The sequence below is a fragment of the Homo sapiens genome, chromosome 6 (assembly GCF_000001405.40).
Source record: "Homo sapiens chromosome 6, GRCh38.p14 Primary Assembly".
NCBI lineage: Eukaryota > Metazoa > Chordata > Mammalia > Primates > Hominidae > Homo > Homo sapiens.
Window position 1 is genome coordinate 109,572,987 of NC_000006.12, and position 17,599 is coordinate 109,590,585.

At 35.7% G+C, this 17,599-nt stretch overlaps 1 protein-coding gene across 20 annotated transcripts in view; it reads right to left on the minus strand.

The window, feature by feature from the left end:
* Positions 1-17,599, minus strand: part of AK9 (adenylate kinase 9) — a 198,348-nt gene that overhangs the window by 80,132 nt on the left and 100,617 nt on the right. For 19 of the 20 annotated variants that reach the window (XR_942337.3, XM_047418304.1, NM_001145128.3 and 16 more), the window contains 4 exons: positions 12,930-13,086; positions 12,137-12,251; positions 6,564-6,640; positions 456-608 (listed from right to left, as the gene is read on the minus strand). Coding sequence is in view for 19 of the 20 variants with exons in the window: in XM_047418304.1 (XP_047274260.1) it covers positions 456-608; positions 6,564-6,640; positions 12,137-12,251; positions 12,930-13,086 (502 nt within the window). In the remaining variant the exon portion in view is untranslated. Of the gene's footprint in view, positions 1-455; positions 609-6,563; positions 6,641-10,186; positions 10,264-12,136; positions 12,252-12,929; positions 13,087-17,599 lie in introns of those variants that run through there. The other variant, XM_011535558.1, reaches the window with a different exon arrangement.

A 17,599-nucleotide genomic window follows, 5' to 3' on the forward strand; every position in this document is an offset into this window, starting at 1 on the left:
ATTTGCATTTAAAAATGGCATTGCACACCATAAAGATGAACTGTAAAATTCATGCTAATAATTTAAAATTTTAATTTAATTTTTCTTTACTTAGAGCAACATTAAATAGCAAACAAAAAAATAGCATGACAAATTGAGAGACAGACTATGGAAGAAAGGAAAAACCGTTATATTTTACTACCTTTAATGACACTTTTTTCCTGCTTTTTGAACAACATGCCCCACAAATTACATAGCCAGCTGTGCTCCTGTGTGCCAGTGCTGGGGCAGAGCAGCCTCTGCTTTCCTACCACACTTCAAACTGTGGGATTTGGACTCAATGGCTGCTCTCTGGGGGCTCATCTCTCCATTCTCAGCCAGCTTCCATTTTACCAACAGGTATACATACACATACCCAAACAGACACATTAATGCACATGAGTAGAATTAAGAACTTGCTATCAATAAAGTCTAACCTGCTTCAGGCTCAGTTTCAGGGACCTCAGATGCTTCAAACTCCTCAGGTAACCATGACCCTCGGGTATCGTGAGATGCCTCAGGCTCTTCGTGAACTTCCAACTCATCACCTTCAATCTCCTCTTCATCCTCATTATCAGTCTCTTCAGCTTCTAAAAAAATTTGAAGAAATAAATTATCATTTGGTTGAAGTCAACAAATATTTATTGGGTGTTGATAAGTGCTGAAGCCAAACAAAGAATATGAAATGGTCCCTGCCCTCCTAGAGTATGTAGTTTAATGGGGGAGATAGAAAAATTATCTATTTATTATAGCTATTCACATGTAGTGGTAAAGGATGATAGTCATCTGCTCAGAGTTCTGTATGAGTACCAGACTAGGGGTTCATTCAAAAATGAAATGTTTGTGGCAGTTCCAAACATCCTTACAGTAAATCTAGAAATAGCCCAATGTCCAAAGAAATGGCTACATCAGCACCATTCAATATAGTAGCCACTAGCTACATGTGGCTATTGAGTACTTGAAATGAGGCTAGTCCAAATTGATATATACTGTAAGTATAAAACATACAGTGAATTTTAAAGATTTAATATGAAAAACTAAATATAAAATATGTGACTTTTAGAAAATTTAAAGTTCCATGTGTGGCTTATATTATGTTTCTAATGGGTAGCACCAGGTTAGATTATATATATAATGATTGATTTTCTTACAGCTAACTAAAAATAATAAATCATGTAGTATATTAATCAATATATTAAATGTAAATACAAAATACAAAAATTAGCTGGGTGTGGTGGCACACACCTGTAGCCCCAGCTACTCAGGAGGCTTAGCAGGAGAATCGCTTGAACCCAGGAGGTGGAGGTTGCAGTGAGCTGAGATTGTGTCACTGCACTCCAGCCTGGGTCATGGAATGAGACTCTGGCTCAAAACAAACAAACAAACAAACAACCCAGAACTAGTAGCCGGTTTAATAACTACCACAATTTTGGAACAGTGATAAACATATAAAGATATGTAAAACTATAATGTGATATGAAAACATCTTCATTTCTTTTGGTGACAAAGTCAAAGTATTGCTAATATTATTGTGGTTTGTTGCCTATATTAATTGCACATTGAAGGAAATAATAAATTTCAGTTAAATGTTAGTGAAAATAAATTCGGAATTATTTTCCAATTAAGTTCACACACCCCTGAATTTTACCCATAGACCCTAGGTTAAGAACTCCAGTCTTTTTTTTAACATCTGTCTTATCTTTTTAAAATTTTTTTATTCCAAAAGTTTTTGAGGAACAGGTGGTGTTTTGTTCCATGGAAAAGTTCTTTGGTGGTGATTTCTGAGGTTTTGGTACACCTATCATCCAAGCACTATACACTGTACCCAATGTGTAGTCTTTTATTCCTCATCTCCCTCCCACCTTCCCTGCAAATTCCCGAAGTCTATTATATCATTCTTATGCCTTTGTGCCCTCATAGTTTAGCTCTCACTTATAAGTGAGAACATACAATGTTTGGTTTTCTATTCCTGAGTTACCTCACTTAGAATAATGGTCTCCAACTCCATCCAGGTTGCTGCAAAAACCATTATTTCATTCCTTTTTATGGCTCAGTAGTATTCCATGGAATATATATATATCACATGTTCTTTATCCACTCGGTTGATGGCATTTAGGCTTGTGCTGCTATAAACGTGTGTGTGCAAGTGTCTTTTTCAAACAATGATTTCTTTTCCTATGGGTAGATACCCAGTAGTGGAATTGCTGGATCAAATGGCAGTTTTATTTTTAGTTCTTTAAGGAATTGCCATAGTGTTTTCCATAGTGTTGTACTGGTTTACATTCCCACAAGCAGTGTAAAACTGTTTCCCTTTCATCACATCCATGCCAACATCTATTATTTTTTGATTTTTTAATTATGGCCATTCTTACAGGAGTAAGGTGGTATGTCACTATGGTTTTGATTTGCATTTCCCTGATAATTAGTGATGTTGAGCATTTTTTCATATATTCGCTGGCCATTTGTATATCTTCTTTTGAGAACTGTCTATTCATGTTCTTAACCCACTTTCTGATGGGATTATTATTTTTTTTTCTTGCTGATTTGAGTTCCTTTTAGATTCTGGATATTAGTCCTTTGTCAGATGCGTAGTTTGTGAAGATTTTCTCCCACTCTGTGGGTTGTCTGTTTACTCTGCTGATTATTTCTTTTGCTGTGCAGAAGATTTTTAGTTTAATTAAGTCACATCTATTTGTCTTTTTGTTTTTGGGTTCTTGGGCATGAACTCTTTGCCTAAGCCAATGTCTATAATAGTTTTTTGATGTTATCTTCTAGAATTTTTATGGTTTCAGGTCTTAGATTTAAGTCCTTGATCCATCTTCAGTTGATTTCTGAATAAGGTGAGAGACAAAGATCCAGCTTCATTCTTCATTGTGGCTTGCCAATTATCCCAGCACCATTTGTTGAATAGGGTGTCCTTTCTCCATTTTATGTTTTGTTTGTTTGTTTTTTTCTTTGTCGAAGATCAGTTGGCTGTAAATATTTGACTGTATTTCTGGGTTCTCTATTCTGTTCCATTGGTCTATGTGCCAATTTTTATAGCAGTACCATGCTGTTTTGGTAACTATATCCTTGAAGTATAGTTTGAAGTTGGGTAATGTGATGCCTATAGATTTGTTCTTTTTGCTTAGTCTTCCTTGGCTATGTGGGATCTTTTTGTGTTCCATTTGAATTTTAGGATTTTTTTTCTAGTTCTGTGAAGAATAATGATGGTATTTTGATGGGAATTGCATTGGATTTGTAGATTGCTTTTGGCAGTATGGTTATTTTCACATGCTCATGGATTCTACCCATCCATGAGCATGGGATGTGTTTTCATTTGTTTGTGTCATTCATGATTTCTTTCAGCAGTGTTTTGTAGTTTTCCTTGTAGAGATCTTTCACCTCCTTGGTTAGGTGTATATACATATATATACTTTTTTTTTTTTTTTTTGCAGCTGTTGTAAAAGGGGTTGAGTTCTTGATTTCATTCTCAGCTTGGTCATTGTTGTTACATAGCAGTGCTACTAATTTGTGTACATTGATTTTGTATCCCAAAACTTTACTGAATTCATTTATCAGATCTAGGAGCTTTTTCAGGTGAGTATTTAGAATTTTCTAGGTATATGATCATATCATCAATGAACAGCAACAGTTTGACTTCCTCTTTACTGATTTAAATGCTCTTTATTTCTTTCTTTTGTCTGATTCCTCCAGCTAGGACTTCCAGTACAATGTTGAATAGCAGTGGTGAAAGTGGGCATCCTTGTCTTGTTCTAGTTCTCAGTGGGAATGCTTTTAGCTTTTCCCCTTTCAGTATAATGTTGGCTGTGGGTTTGTCATAGATTTCTTTTTTTTTTTTTTTGAGACAGACTCTCACTCTGTCACCTAGGCTGGAGTGCAGTGGCATGATCTCAGCTCATTGCAACCTCCACCTCCTGGGTTCAAGCGATTTTCCTGCCTCAGCTTTCTGAGTAGCTGGGACTACAGGCACCCGCCACCACGCCCGGCTAATTTTTTGTATTTTTAGTAGAGACGGGGTTTCACCGTGTTAGCCAGGATGGTCTCAATCTCCCAACCTTGTGATCGGCCCACCTCGGCCTCCCAAAGTGCTGGGATTACAGGTGTGAGCCACTGTGCCCGGCCATAGATGGCTTTTATTACCTTGAGGTGTGTTCCTTTTATGCCCATTTTTCTGAGGGTTTTAATCATAAAGGGGTGCTGGATTTTGTCAAATGCTTTTTCTGCATCTATTGAGATGATCATAAGATTTTTGTTTTTACCTCTGTTTACATAGTGTATCACATTTATTGACTTGTGTATGTTAAACCATCCTTCCATCCCTGGTATGAAACCCATTTGATCATGGTGTATTATCTTTTTGACATGCTATTGAATTTAGTTAGTATTTTGTTGATGATTTTTGCATCTATGTTCAACAGGGATATTGGTCTGGTTCCTTTTTTTTTTAATGTCCTTTCTTGGTTTTGGTATTAGAGTGATACTGGCATCATAGAATGATTTAGGGAGGATTCCCTCTCTCTCTATCTTTTGGAATAGTTTCAGTAAGATTGGTACCAATTCTTTGAATACCTGATAGAAATCAGCTGTGAATCCATCTGGTCCTGGACCTTTTCTTGTTGGAAAATTTTAAATTACTGTTTTCAATCTTGCTACTTGTTATTGGTCTGTTAGGGGCTTCTATTTCTTCCTGATTTAATCTAGAAGGGTTGTTTACTTCCAGGAATTTATCCATCTCCTCTAGATTTTCTAGTTTGTGTGCATAAAGGTGTTCATAGTAGCCTTGAATGATCTTTTGTGTTTCTGTGGTATTGGCTGTAATATCTCCTTCCTTCCTTCCTTCCTCTCTCTTTTTCTTTCTTTCTTTTTCTTTCCTTCTTTCCTTCTCTCTCTCTTTCTCTCTTTCTTTCTTTCTTTCTTTTCTTCCTTTCTTTCTCTTTTTTTTTTTCTTTTTAGATAGCCTGTTGCCCAGACTGGAGTGCAGTGACACGATCTCAGCTCACTGCAACCTCTGCCTCCCAGGTTCAAGTGATTCTCCTGCCTCAGCCTCCCAAGTAGCTGGGATTACAGGCGTGCACCACCACGCCTGGCTAATTTTTTAAAAATTTTTAGTAGAAACAGGGTTTTACCATGTTAGCCAGGCTGGTCTTGAACTCCTGACCTCAGGTGATCCACCCACCTCAGCCTCCCAAAGTGCGGGATTACAGGCATGAGCCACCATGCCCAGCTAATTTTTGTATTTTTAGTAGAGCTGGGGTTTCGCCATGTTGGCCAGGCTGGTCTCGAACTCCTGACCTCAAGTGATCCGCCCTCCTCAGCCTCCCAAAGTGCTGGGATTACAGGCATAAGCCACCACACCTGGCCTCCTGTTACATTTCTAATTGAGCTTATTTGAATCTTCTCTCTTCTTTTTTTGGTTAATCTCACTAATGATCTATCAATTTTGCTTATCTTTTCAAAGAACCAGCTTTTTGTTTCATTTATCTTTTATTTATTTATTTTTTTGTTTCAATTTTATTTAGTTCTGCTCTGATCTTCATTATTTCTTTTCTTCTGTTTTGGGGATCTTGGGTTCGGGTTTGGGTTTGGGTTGTTCTTGCTTCTCTAGTTCCTTGAGGTGTGACCTTAGATTGTCTATTTGTGTTCTTTCAGGCTTTTTGATGTAAGCATTTAATACTATGAACTTACCTCTTTGGACCACTTTTGCTGTATCCCAGAAGTTTTGATAAGTTGTGTCACTGTTATTGTTCAGTTCAAATAATTTTTAAATTTCCTTCTTGATTTAATTGTTGGCCTAAAGAACATTCAGGAGCAGGTTGTCTAATTTCCATGTATTCGTATAGTTTGGAATTTATTTCCAATTTTATTCCACTGTGGTCTGAGAGAGTACTCGGTATAATTTTGATTTTCTTAAATTCGCTGAGACCTGTTTTGTGGCCTATTATGTGATCTATCTTGGAGGATATTCCATGTGCTGATGAATAGAATGTATATTCTGCAGTTGTTGGGTAGAATGTTCTGTAATTATCTGTAAAATCTATTTGCTCTAGGGTGTAGTTTAAGTCCACTGAAAAACTCCAATCTTAAACTGTTACAGTGAGTTATATAATGAAGATGGGAGTTTAATCATAAAGAGAGTAAGTGGGTAATAAGAGATTTGCTGTCTTCTCAACTCCTGTAGGATGGTTCTAACGAAGTAATTCCAACAGCTGTGTGTCACCTGTGTCAAGAGCAATGATTTAAAGACAAGCCGTGTGTGCTATTCTGCTGTGTATCACTTGCAGAGGGTGTATGAGTAGGTATCTCTGTCAAGAGTCATTTTCCTATGAATCCATTACTTCAGTAACAATATTATTTAGTATACAAACTGGAACACTTTAAGAATAAAAGGTACTATAAAGACTTCAAGAATATAGGCATAAACCTGGGCTCTCATGGACAAATTGGGAAATGTGATCACCCAGTCTATAATTCACTTGAAATACTGCAATTGCTTGCAGTAACAATACCATGACACATCATCAGTCATAGCAATCTGTGCTTGCCTTTTGCCTTCACTTTCATAAGTTCCAGTAGCCTTCGATTTTCTTCTTCGAGTCTCAATTCCTCTTCTGTGGCTTTTCTGAAATGAAAAGGTTCAAATTTAATTATCTTTGGAAATTCAGACTTCTCACACTATTACAGGATTAAATGCTTATAGTGTTAAAAATAAAGATTAAATCTTATTATACTTACTTTACAATGTATATTTTTAAATTACTCATGTTGAGACTAGTTACTTTTCAGCATTTTCTTCTGGGGGAGAAAAACTGGAATGTTATACTTTGAAAAACTTTGTCTATTAATTAGGAAACATGTCAAAAATAAGAAAGGATTACCTAACTGTATGTTGAAAAGGCAAATGGAAGGATTTGTAGCATTTTTCCTCTGATTTAATGGTAAATGTTCACAATATAATGTCAAGTAAGAAAAGTCAAATATAAAACTGTATGTATAATATAATTTTAATTTGGTATTTAGAATGCATATAAATGAGGATTAAAAGTCTAGGAGAAAACCAATCAAATGGTCAACATGGATGATGGCATATAAGTGTTTTAAGTTTTCTTTAACTTTTTGCATTAAAATTTTTTCTATATTGAATAAGCAGAACATTTGTAAATTTATCTTTCTAATAAGAAAAAAACCCTAATTATTTTATTTTTAACATAGTAGTGATGAAATTTAAAGAGACCTGGAATATGGAGACTTAAAAACCTGGGGGGAATCTGTTTTTCATTAGGATTGAAGCACCAAACCGGCCTTAACGATGGTAAAGAAAGGTGGACGGAAAGTTAGTAAAATGCTGGAGAAAGGCAACATTTATTAAAAATTAAAATGTTTGATCTAGAAATCTATATCTAGGAATTTAGCCCTCAGAAACAGGAATACTACTGCACAAAGAAACACACAAAAGAATGTTGACTGAATCTTTAAAAAATTTTAACAAAAAATTATATCAGGTATTCATCGGTTAAGGAAGAGCCCATTCATGTCAGCAGCATACACTGGGGGCACAGCTTTCCTCAGACCTGTTATTTTCTCATACTCCGCGTTCTTTGCATCCATTTTCCCTTCTTTTGAAAGCTAGTTACACATAAGACATTACTACACCTCTTCTCCCAGCAGGTCGGCTTCCTGTTAATGGAGGACATTCTCTCACTGCATTCCAAATCCTGTGTTCCTGCCGGAAGTCTTGGCGTAATTCAAGTTCTCTTTGCTCGTGACTCAGCCCTCTGAGGCTACTGAGTGTTGTTTCTGAACTCCTTTCCCATTTTGTCTGTGTGTGAACAGGCAGTTATTCTGCAGGCATACCTTGCCTTATTGTGCTTTGCTTCATTGCGCTTTACAGATATCGTGGTTTTTTTTTGTGTTTTTTTGTTTTGTTTTACAAGTTGAGGGTTTGTGGCAACCCTGCAATAAGCAACTCTATTTCAAACTTCCTCATTATTATTATGTGTCAGTGATCTGTGATCAATGGCCTTTGATGTTACTATTATCATTGTTTGGGGCACCATGAACCACATCTATATAAGACGGTGAACTTAATTGATAGATGCTGTGGGTGTTGTGACTGCTCCACTGACTGGCTGATCCCTTGACTCCCTCCCTCTCCTCAGGCCTCCCTATTCTCTAAGACACAATACTATTGAAATGAGGCCAATTAATAACCCTACAATGGCCTCCAGCTTTTTAAGTGAAAAAAAGAGCCCCACATTTGTCACTTTAAATCAAAAGCTAGAAATGGCTAAGCTTAGTGAGGAAGGTATATTGAAGGCTGAGATAGTCCAAAAGCTATGCCTCTGGTGCAAAATAGTTAGCCAAGTTGTGAATGCCAAAGAAATGTTCTTCAAGGAAATTAAATGTGCTACTCCAGTGAATACACTAATGATACAAAAGTAAAACAGCCTTACTATTGATATGGAGAAAGTTTTTGAGTGGTCTGATTAGAAGATCAAACCAGCCACAACATTCCCTTAAGCCAAAGTCTAATCAGGAGCAAGGCCCTAATTCGCTTCAATTCTGTGATGGCTGAGGGAGGCAAGGAACCTGGAGAAGAAAAGTTTGAAGCTAGCAGAAGTTGGTTCATGAGGCTTAAGGAAAGAAGCCATCTCTGTAACATCAAAATGCAGTGCAAGGTGAAGCAGGCAAGTGCTGATGTAGGAGCTGCAATAAGTTATTTAGAAGACCTAGCTAAGACCATAGACAAAGGTGGCTACACTAAACAACAGATTTTTCAATGTCAACAAAACAGGCTTCTATTGGAAGAAGATGCCATCTAGGACTTTCAGAGTTAGAGAGGAGAAGTCAATGCCTGGCTTCAAAGCTTTAAGGGACAGGCTGACACTCTTATTAAGGGCTTGTGCAGCTGGTGAAGCTAATGCCCATTTCCCAGTCCAAAAATCCTAGGCCCCCTAATTAACTATGCTAAATCTACTCTGCCTGTGCTCTACAAATAGAACAAAGCCTAGATGCCAGTACATCTGTTTACAGCATGCTTTACTGAGTATTTTAACTGCTGTTGAGATCTACTGCTTAGAAAAAAAGATTAATTTCAAAATATTACTGCCCATTGACAATGCAGATAGTCACCCAAGAGCTCTGATGAAGACACATAAGGAGAATGAATGTTTTCATGCCTGCTAATGCAACATCCATAACGCAGCCCATGGATCAAAGAGTAATTTTGACTTTTAAGTCTAATTATTAAGAAACACATTTCATAAGACTACAGCTGTCATAGATAGTGATTCCTCTAATAGATCTGAGCAAAGTAAATTGAAAACCTTCTGGAAAGGATTTACCATTGCAGAAGCCATTAAGAACATTCATGATTTGTGGGAGGAGGTCAAAATATCCACATTAACAGGAATTTGGAAGAAGGTGATTCCAACCCTCATGGATTACTTTAATAAGTTCAGGACTGTAATGAAGGAAGTAACTGCAGATGTAGTGAAAATAGCAAGATAATTAGAATTAGAAGTGAAGCCTAAATTGCTGCAATCTCATGATCAAACTTGAACAGATGAAGAGTTCTTCTCATGGATGAGAAAAGAAATTGGTTTCTTGAGATGGAATCTATTCTTGGTGAAGATGCTGTGAATACTGTTGAAATTACAACAAAAAATTTAGAATACCACATAAACTTGGTTGATAAAGTAGTGGTGGGTTTGAGAGGATTGACTCCAATTTTGAAAGAAGTTCTACTGTGGGTAAAATGCTATCAAACAACATTACATACTACAGAAAAATATTTTGGGAAAGAAAGAGTAATAAACAGATACAACAAACTTCATCATTGTCCTAGTTTAAGAAATTTCCATAGCCACCCCAACCTTTGGCAACCACTACCCTTATCGGTCAGCAGCCAACAACACTGAGGCAAAACCTTCCACCAGGAAAATGATTGACTCACTAAAGGCTCAGATGATCATCACCATGTTATTTTAAAGCATTTTAAAATTAAGGTATATACATTTTTAGACATAATGCTATTGCACACTTAATAGATGACAATATTGTGTAAACATAACTTTTATATGCACTGGGAAGCAAAAAAACTCATGTGACTTGCTTTACTGTGGTGGCCTGGAACCAAACCTGCAATATTTCCAAGCTATGCCTGTACCTCAGATGGGGCTCTTTGTGACATCTTCCTTATCCAAATCCTGGATCAAGTATGTTGCTGCTGAGAATCTAAGACCTGAACAGAACAAGGAAGAATTTTGCTGCCAGTTCTTAGAAATTTCTGTAACCCACTTGGATAGATGATCCAATGACTAACAATATGACAGAAATTATCTTGCCATTTGACTAGCATATTTGGAAACTGATGCTGGAAAAGTTTTAAAATTTAGCATGTCTTTAGATATTTGATCAAGATGCAGTTCTTAATCCTGTTAAGTTTCTCTCTTTTCTAACCAACCTATAAGGCCTTTAAGTGAGTGTCTGACAGTTTTTTAAAAACCATCTTAAATTTTATTTCTGAAGTATAAAGGAAAAAAGTTTGTTTTGAAAAACTCATGTTGAATTTTAAAAATCAACATATAAAAACATAGAAAAGCCTGCTTCAATCTGGGCAGGTGATATTAAGGAGTTTATAAAGATGTAAAAATTTAGAATCAAAAGAAGTAAAGATTGATTATAAAAATAACTTAGAGAATTCCATATGGTTAAAGAGGTGAAGGTAGAATTGACAGAAAGTGGAGAAGATATCTTTTCCTTTTTAAAAAAAGTTAAAGGTATACATATTTTTAATATATTTAAGATGTAGCAGATCTCCAGTCTACAAATCACATCAACTTTGTTTTACTCTTATGTTGAGATCTCCATCTGTTCTCAAAGATTGGACTAGTTCTCACACACTGGAAAAAGATTAAGTAATTCCTTAATTATCAACAGATTATAGCTGATCTGTAGATTGAGTATAGCTGATTGGAGCTAATTAGTAGATTTGTAACAAAAGTTTTCAAAGCTAAAAGGGAATATAAGTAAGTTTGTAATTATTGTCTGAATTAAAGTACTGTTTGGTCAATATATCACATAATAATTTTATTAACTAATTTAACTAAATCTTACATATTTGTGTGTTAAATTTCTAAAGGAGTGACTAGCTTAAATGAATAATGAACACTAAAAAATAAAATCCTCTGGCACACATATCAGTTAAACTGCTCTCTACCTCTGTAATTATCCACCTCCCAGCTTCTTCATTTCTAGGGTTTAAAGAGCTCTCCTAAGTCTCAGCTCAAATAGCTAATATTTGAAAGGGAAAAGGAAACAGCATTTAAGAAAGCCATAGGTGCCATCATCAATAGTAGGAAGTTCCATGGATTTACACAGAAAAATTTAATTCTTAAATGTCTAGGCCTTTATTACTTTGAATAGTAGAAATCCCAGTGGACAAATTAAAACGTAAAGTATTTAAAGAGAATTTTTTAGTAAGGAAGAACAATTAGCAAACTAAGTCATTGTTTCTTTTAATATTTTATTCTTCAATCTGAAGGACTTATAGTTTATTAAAGTTTAGTATTGACCCCTGCCATGAACAGATAACTGTGTGGTCACATTTTAAAAAGTCATTCATTATACCCAGATTAGAGAATAAGCCCTCAATGTTAAACCTGTCAAACATAAATAATTAGCCTGGTCTTTCCATGTGTAGAACTTAGTCAGGCTTTGGATTTTAGTCATGTCGCACAAGTACTATATATTTTCATCTGCTTCCTATGATGTTGTTTCTTCAATTTGTAAATGCTAGTTAACAAAATTAAGTCACAGATAAATATAACAATATATATATCTTACCCATGCTCATTTTTTAAATAGTGTCTTTTAAGAGCAGATGCTTGATTTAGAATAAGTTTGATATGGGCTGGGAAAAAATCACAACTGTGTGCTTTAGAGATTCTGGAAGTATTTGTGAAATCGCTGCTTTTCTTAAAATTAACTAGAATCAGATCAAGATAATAAATTATCATTTCAATATTAAATATATTCTATAAGTATAATTGCAAGAAGATATTTAACTGCTATAACAGATACATTAATCTGTTTTATCATTCTAGGCAGATTTTACCTTGCTTCTTCTTCTTCTTTTTTTTTCTTTTGTAGTTCTTCTAATAATCTTTCTAAAATCTTAGAGTCAATTTCAGATTTCTTCTGTAAATATATTCTATTAAATAAACATTTTCCTGAAATACAGATAAGGAGACTAATATTACTTTTGTAGCTTATAAAATACAGTGAGATGTATTTTGAAGATTAACACAAACATTATTTCTGCTTATATCTAAATACATTTTCCTTTAAGCATGTATCTAAATAGAGCCCAGATTCTTTAAAATATTAATAGACCATCTTAAATTCTTTTAAAAAGGTATGTATGAATACAGTAGAAATAAGTAAAACATGAAAAGAGGTAGTATATTATATTTTTCCCCTGGCAATTCCCATTTTGAATATCTTACTTTAAGAGGCAAACAGAATAATTAAAATTTAGCTCTGCTAAATTTATGTACCTCATTTTTCCTACTTGAGGTGAAGAAGAACTAACATTTAGTCTTTGCCCTCAGCCTTATATGTTATTCATTTAGAAGTTATAGCTTCTAATTGTGTGTGTGTGCGTGCTAAACTGTAAGCTTTAAAGAAAAATTACAACGGCCAGCTAGAACATTCAACCATCCGGCACTTATTCCTGGCCACCTTCTCAGTATATGGAAGCCTCATTTTGTGTACCTCTAGTTCCTGCAGGGATTGCTGGGGTGGGTATTTCTATCTAGGAAGAGTGGAGAGTTGTCCGTTCTATATTTAACCAAAAATATCAATAACAAAACTTCACTTTCAAATTTACATAATAAATATTTACCAACCATTGTTTTCTGTATCTGATAAATAGATGACCAAATCAGGTATAATTCCTTTCTTGATTAAGGCCATCCACAATTCTTTTACAATAGGGCAGTTGTCCACAATCCAGCCTCCATATTTTGGGGCACCAGGAAACCTATCCTTGTTTTCTTCCATTACCTGTGAAAAATTGTACACTGATATTACTATCATAGCTTGACAAGTCAAGGATGCAACCTTGATATGTAATTTTTGTGGATCTTAAACAAGTATCTTTTGAGTTCTTCTTTCAAAAGGAAAAAAAAGGGTGACAATTTTTAAAGCTAAACTTAATTTTAAAGCAATAAAATCGTAAGTTTAAAAAGTTAAGAATGGAGGCTGGGCGAAGTGGTGCATGCCTGTAGTATCAGCTACACAGGAGGCTGAGGCAGGAGGATTGCTTGAGCCCAGGTGTTTGAGGTTGCAGTAAGCTATAATTGTGCCACTGCACCAGTGTCAGACCCTGTCTCTAATGAGACAACGACAACCAAAGTTAACAAAGGGAAGAACAGACTTTGTGAAATAAATATAATAATACATTTTTGCTATACATTACTCAGAGGACAGATCATGATTCAGAAGGTCTGGGGAATGGCCCTAGAGTCTACATTTCTAACATGCTTCCAGGTGATAATGATGCCTGGACCACTCTAAGTAGAAAGCTCCTGGTCCAGCTTGCCTTTTCAGTGACAACACCCTTCACTTCTCTTCTGCTTTCATTTCTCAGTGTGAGAGCTAAAAGGTACTGAGATGGTTCCTACTGATGGCAGTAGGAAGCATGGAGTCAAAACAACAAAACAAACTTTGCAGGTGCTTAGAGAATTCTGCTAAATTCTTGTCTTCCTGCTTCTCTCCAATAGCAATAGTTTCAACACATATTTGGAAATTAGTAATGTGTATCTATGAAAACACCAATTCTGAGAGCTTCAAACAAGTTTGTGTACCATTAGGTAATCACAAAATATTACAAGTCAAAGGGGAAGAGATGTCAAGAGGGCCAATATTACCCTCTTGACAGGCCTATGCAGAATTTAAAATTATCTGCTTTTTGATTTTTTTTTAGACGAGGTCTTGCTATGTTGTCGAGGCTGGTTTAGAACTCTTGGGCTGAGGCAATCCTCCCCCTTTAGCCTCCTGAGTAGCTGGGACTATAGGCTTGCACCACTATGTCCATCTTGCTTTTTGAATTATTATCTGAATAAGCAGTCTTTTAAAAAATAATTTTAAGCACTTTGAAATGTTTAACATAAGAGAATTAGGGAAAAAGAAAGCTATGAAGAAGACCTATAAATGGTTAACACAAATTTAACCATTCAAATTTGAAATTGTATTTTTGAAACAAATTTTCAAACAATTTTACAATGTTTCAATTGTTGTTTGAAACAAAACAACATTGAGATATAACTTATAATTTCTCCACCTCATTCAACTTTATTTATTTGTTGTGTATATTCATGGGTTACAAGTGCAATTTTGCTGCATTGATATATTGCACTGTGGTGAAGTCAGGGCTTTCAGTGCATCCATCACCAGAGCAAGGCACACTGTATCAGCCAAGCAAGCTCCCATCATTCACCACTTCCCCACCCCTCTGATACTCTATTGTCCATCATTCCATATTCTGCTTCCATGTGTACACATTGTTTAGCTCCCAATTGTGAGAACATGCGGTATTTGTCTTTCTGTGTCTGAGTTGTTTCACTTAAGATAATGGCCTCCAGTTCCATCCATGTTACTGCAAAAGACATGATTTCATTCTTCACTAATGAACACTTAGGTTGATTCCGCGGCATTGTTATTGTTAATAGCGCTGCAATAAGCATACTAGTGCAGGTGTCTTTTTGATAAAAAGGCTTCTTTTCCTTTGAGCAGATACTCAATAATGGGATTGCGGTTCAATGGTAGTCTTATTTTTAGTTCTTTGAGAAATCTCTACACCATTTTCATAAAGGTGTACCAATTTACATTCCCATTAACAGTGTATAAATAATTTCCTTTTCTTTGCATCCTTGTCAACATCTGTTTTTTGACTTTGTAATAATAGCTATTCTGACTGGAGTAAGATGCTATTTCATTGTGGTTTTAATGTACATTTCTCTGATGATTGGTGATGTTGAGGACTTTTTTTCATATGTTTGCTGCCTTCTTTTTTTTTTTGAGACGGAGTTTCGCTCTGTCGCCCAGGCTGGAGTGCAGTGGCGCGATCTCGACTCACTGCAAGCTCCGCCTCCCGGGTTCACGCCATTCTCCTGCCTCAGCCTCCCGTGTAGCTGGGACTACAGGCATGCGCCACCATGCCTGGCTAATTTTTGTATTTTTAGTAGAGACGGGGTTTCACCGTGTTAGCCAGGATGGTCTCGATCTCCTGACCTCGTGATCCGCCCGTCTCGGCCTCCCAAAGTGCTGGGATTACAGGCGTGAGCCACCGCGCCCGGCTGTTTGCTGCCTTCTTGTATGTCTTCTTTTCAGAAATGTCTGTTCATGTCCTTGGCCCACTTTTTAATGGGGTTATTTGTTTTTCTCTTCTTGAGTTGTTTGAGTTTCTTGTAGATTCTGGATATTAGCCCTTTGTCAGATGCATTGTTTGCAAATGTTTTCTTCCATTACATAGATTCTCTGTTTACTCTGTTGATTATTTCTTCAGAAACTTTTCATTTAATTACGTCCTATTTGTCTATTTTTGTTTTTGCTGCATTTCCTTTTGACAACTTAGTTATAAATTCTTTGCCTAATGTCCAGAAGAGTTTTTCCTAGGTTCTCTTTCAGGATTTTTATAGTCTGAGGTCTTACATTTAAGTTTTTAACCCATGTTAATTTTGTATCTGGTGAGAGATAGGGGTCCAGTTTCATTCTTCTGCATATGGCTCTCCAGTTTTCCCAGTACCATTTATTGAATGGGTGTCCTTTCCACAGTGTATATTCTAGTTGACTTTGCCAAAGATCACTTAGTTGTAGGTATGTGGCTTTAGTTCTTGGTTCTCTATTCTTTTCTATCAATCTAAGTGTCTTTTTAAAATACCAGTACCATGCTGTTTTGGTTACTATAGCCTTGTAGTATAATTTGAAGTCTAGCAATGTGGTTTCTCCAGCTTTATTCTTTTTGCTTAAGTTTACTTTGGCTATTTGGGCTCTTTTTATTGTTCTGTACAAATTTCACTATTATTTTTTCTAATTCTGTGAAGAATGACATTGGTAATTTTATAGGAATTGCCTTAAATCTGTAGATTGCTTTCAGTATTATACTCATTTCAACAATATTTATTCTTCTGATCCATGAACATGGTATGTTTTCCATTTATTTGTGTTATATATGGTTTCTTTCATCAGTATTTTGTAGTTCTCCTTGTAGAGATCTTTCACCTCCTTGGTTAAATGTATTCCTGGGTATTTTATTATTTTCATAGCCATTATAAATGGGATTGAGTTCTTGATTTTGTTCTCAGCTTGATTGTTATTGGTGTACAGAAATGGCAATTTTTGTATGTTGATTTTGTATCCTGAAACTTTACTGAAGTCATTTATCAAATCTAGCAGTCTTTTGAAGGAATCTTTAGGGTTTTCTAGGTATAGAAACATATCAACAGTAGAGATTATTTGAGTTCCTCTTTTCCAATTTGGATGCCTTTTATTTCATTCTCTTACCTGATTGCTATAGCTAGGATTTCTAGGACTATGTTGAACAGCAGTGGTGAAACTGGGTATCCTTGTCTTGTTATTAGGGGGAATGCTTTTAACTTTTCCTCATTCAGTAAAATGTTGGCAGTGGGTTTGTTATATACGGCCTTTATTATTTTGAGGTATGTTCCTTCTATGCCTAGTTGGGTAAGGGTTTTTATTATGAAGTGATGCTGGATTTTATTGAATGCTCTTCCTTCATCTATTGATGTTATCACATAGTTTTTTGTTTTTAATTCTGTTTATGTGGTGAATCACATTTATTGATTTGTGTATGCTGAACCAACCTTGCATCTCTGGAATAAAATCCACTTGATTATGCTGGATTTTCTTTGTGTATTCGTTCCTGAATCTGGTTTGCTAGTATTTTTTTGAGGACATCTGCATCTATGTTCATCAGGAATAATGGTCTATAGCTTTCTTTTTTGTTGTGTCCTTGTCTGGCTTTGGTATCAGAGTGATGCTGGCTTCATGGAATGAGTTAGGGAGGATTCACTCCTCCTTGATGTTTTGGAACAGTTTTAGTAGAATTGGTAGCAGTTCTTCCTTCAACATTTAGCAGAATTTGGCTGTAAAACCATCTGGCCCTGGGCTTTTTTGTTACTGTTGAGAGATTTTTAATTACTGATTCAATTTCACTACTCCTTATTGGTCTGTTCAGGTTTTCTATTTCTTCTAGTTCATCTTGGGAGGATGTATATTTCTAAGAACTTATCCATTTCCTCTAGGTTTTCCAGCTTGTATGCACAGAGATGCTGATAGTAGTCATTAGTGATCTTTCGTATTTCTGTTGCATCAGTTGTAATGACACCTTTATTATTTCTGATTTTGCTTATTTGAATGTTCTCTTTTTCACTTGATTATCTAGCTATCAATTTTGCTTATTTTTTCAAAGAACAACTTTTAATTAATTCTTTGTAATGTTTTTGGTCTCAGTTTCATTTAGTTCTGCTAGCTTTTGATGTGGTTTGCTCTTGTT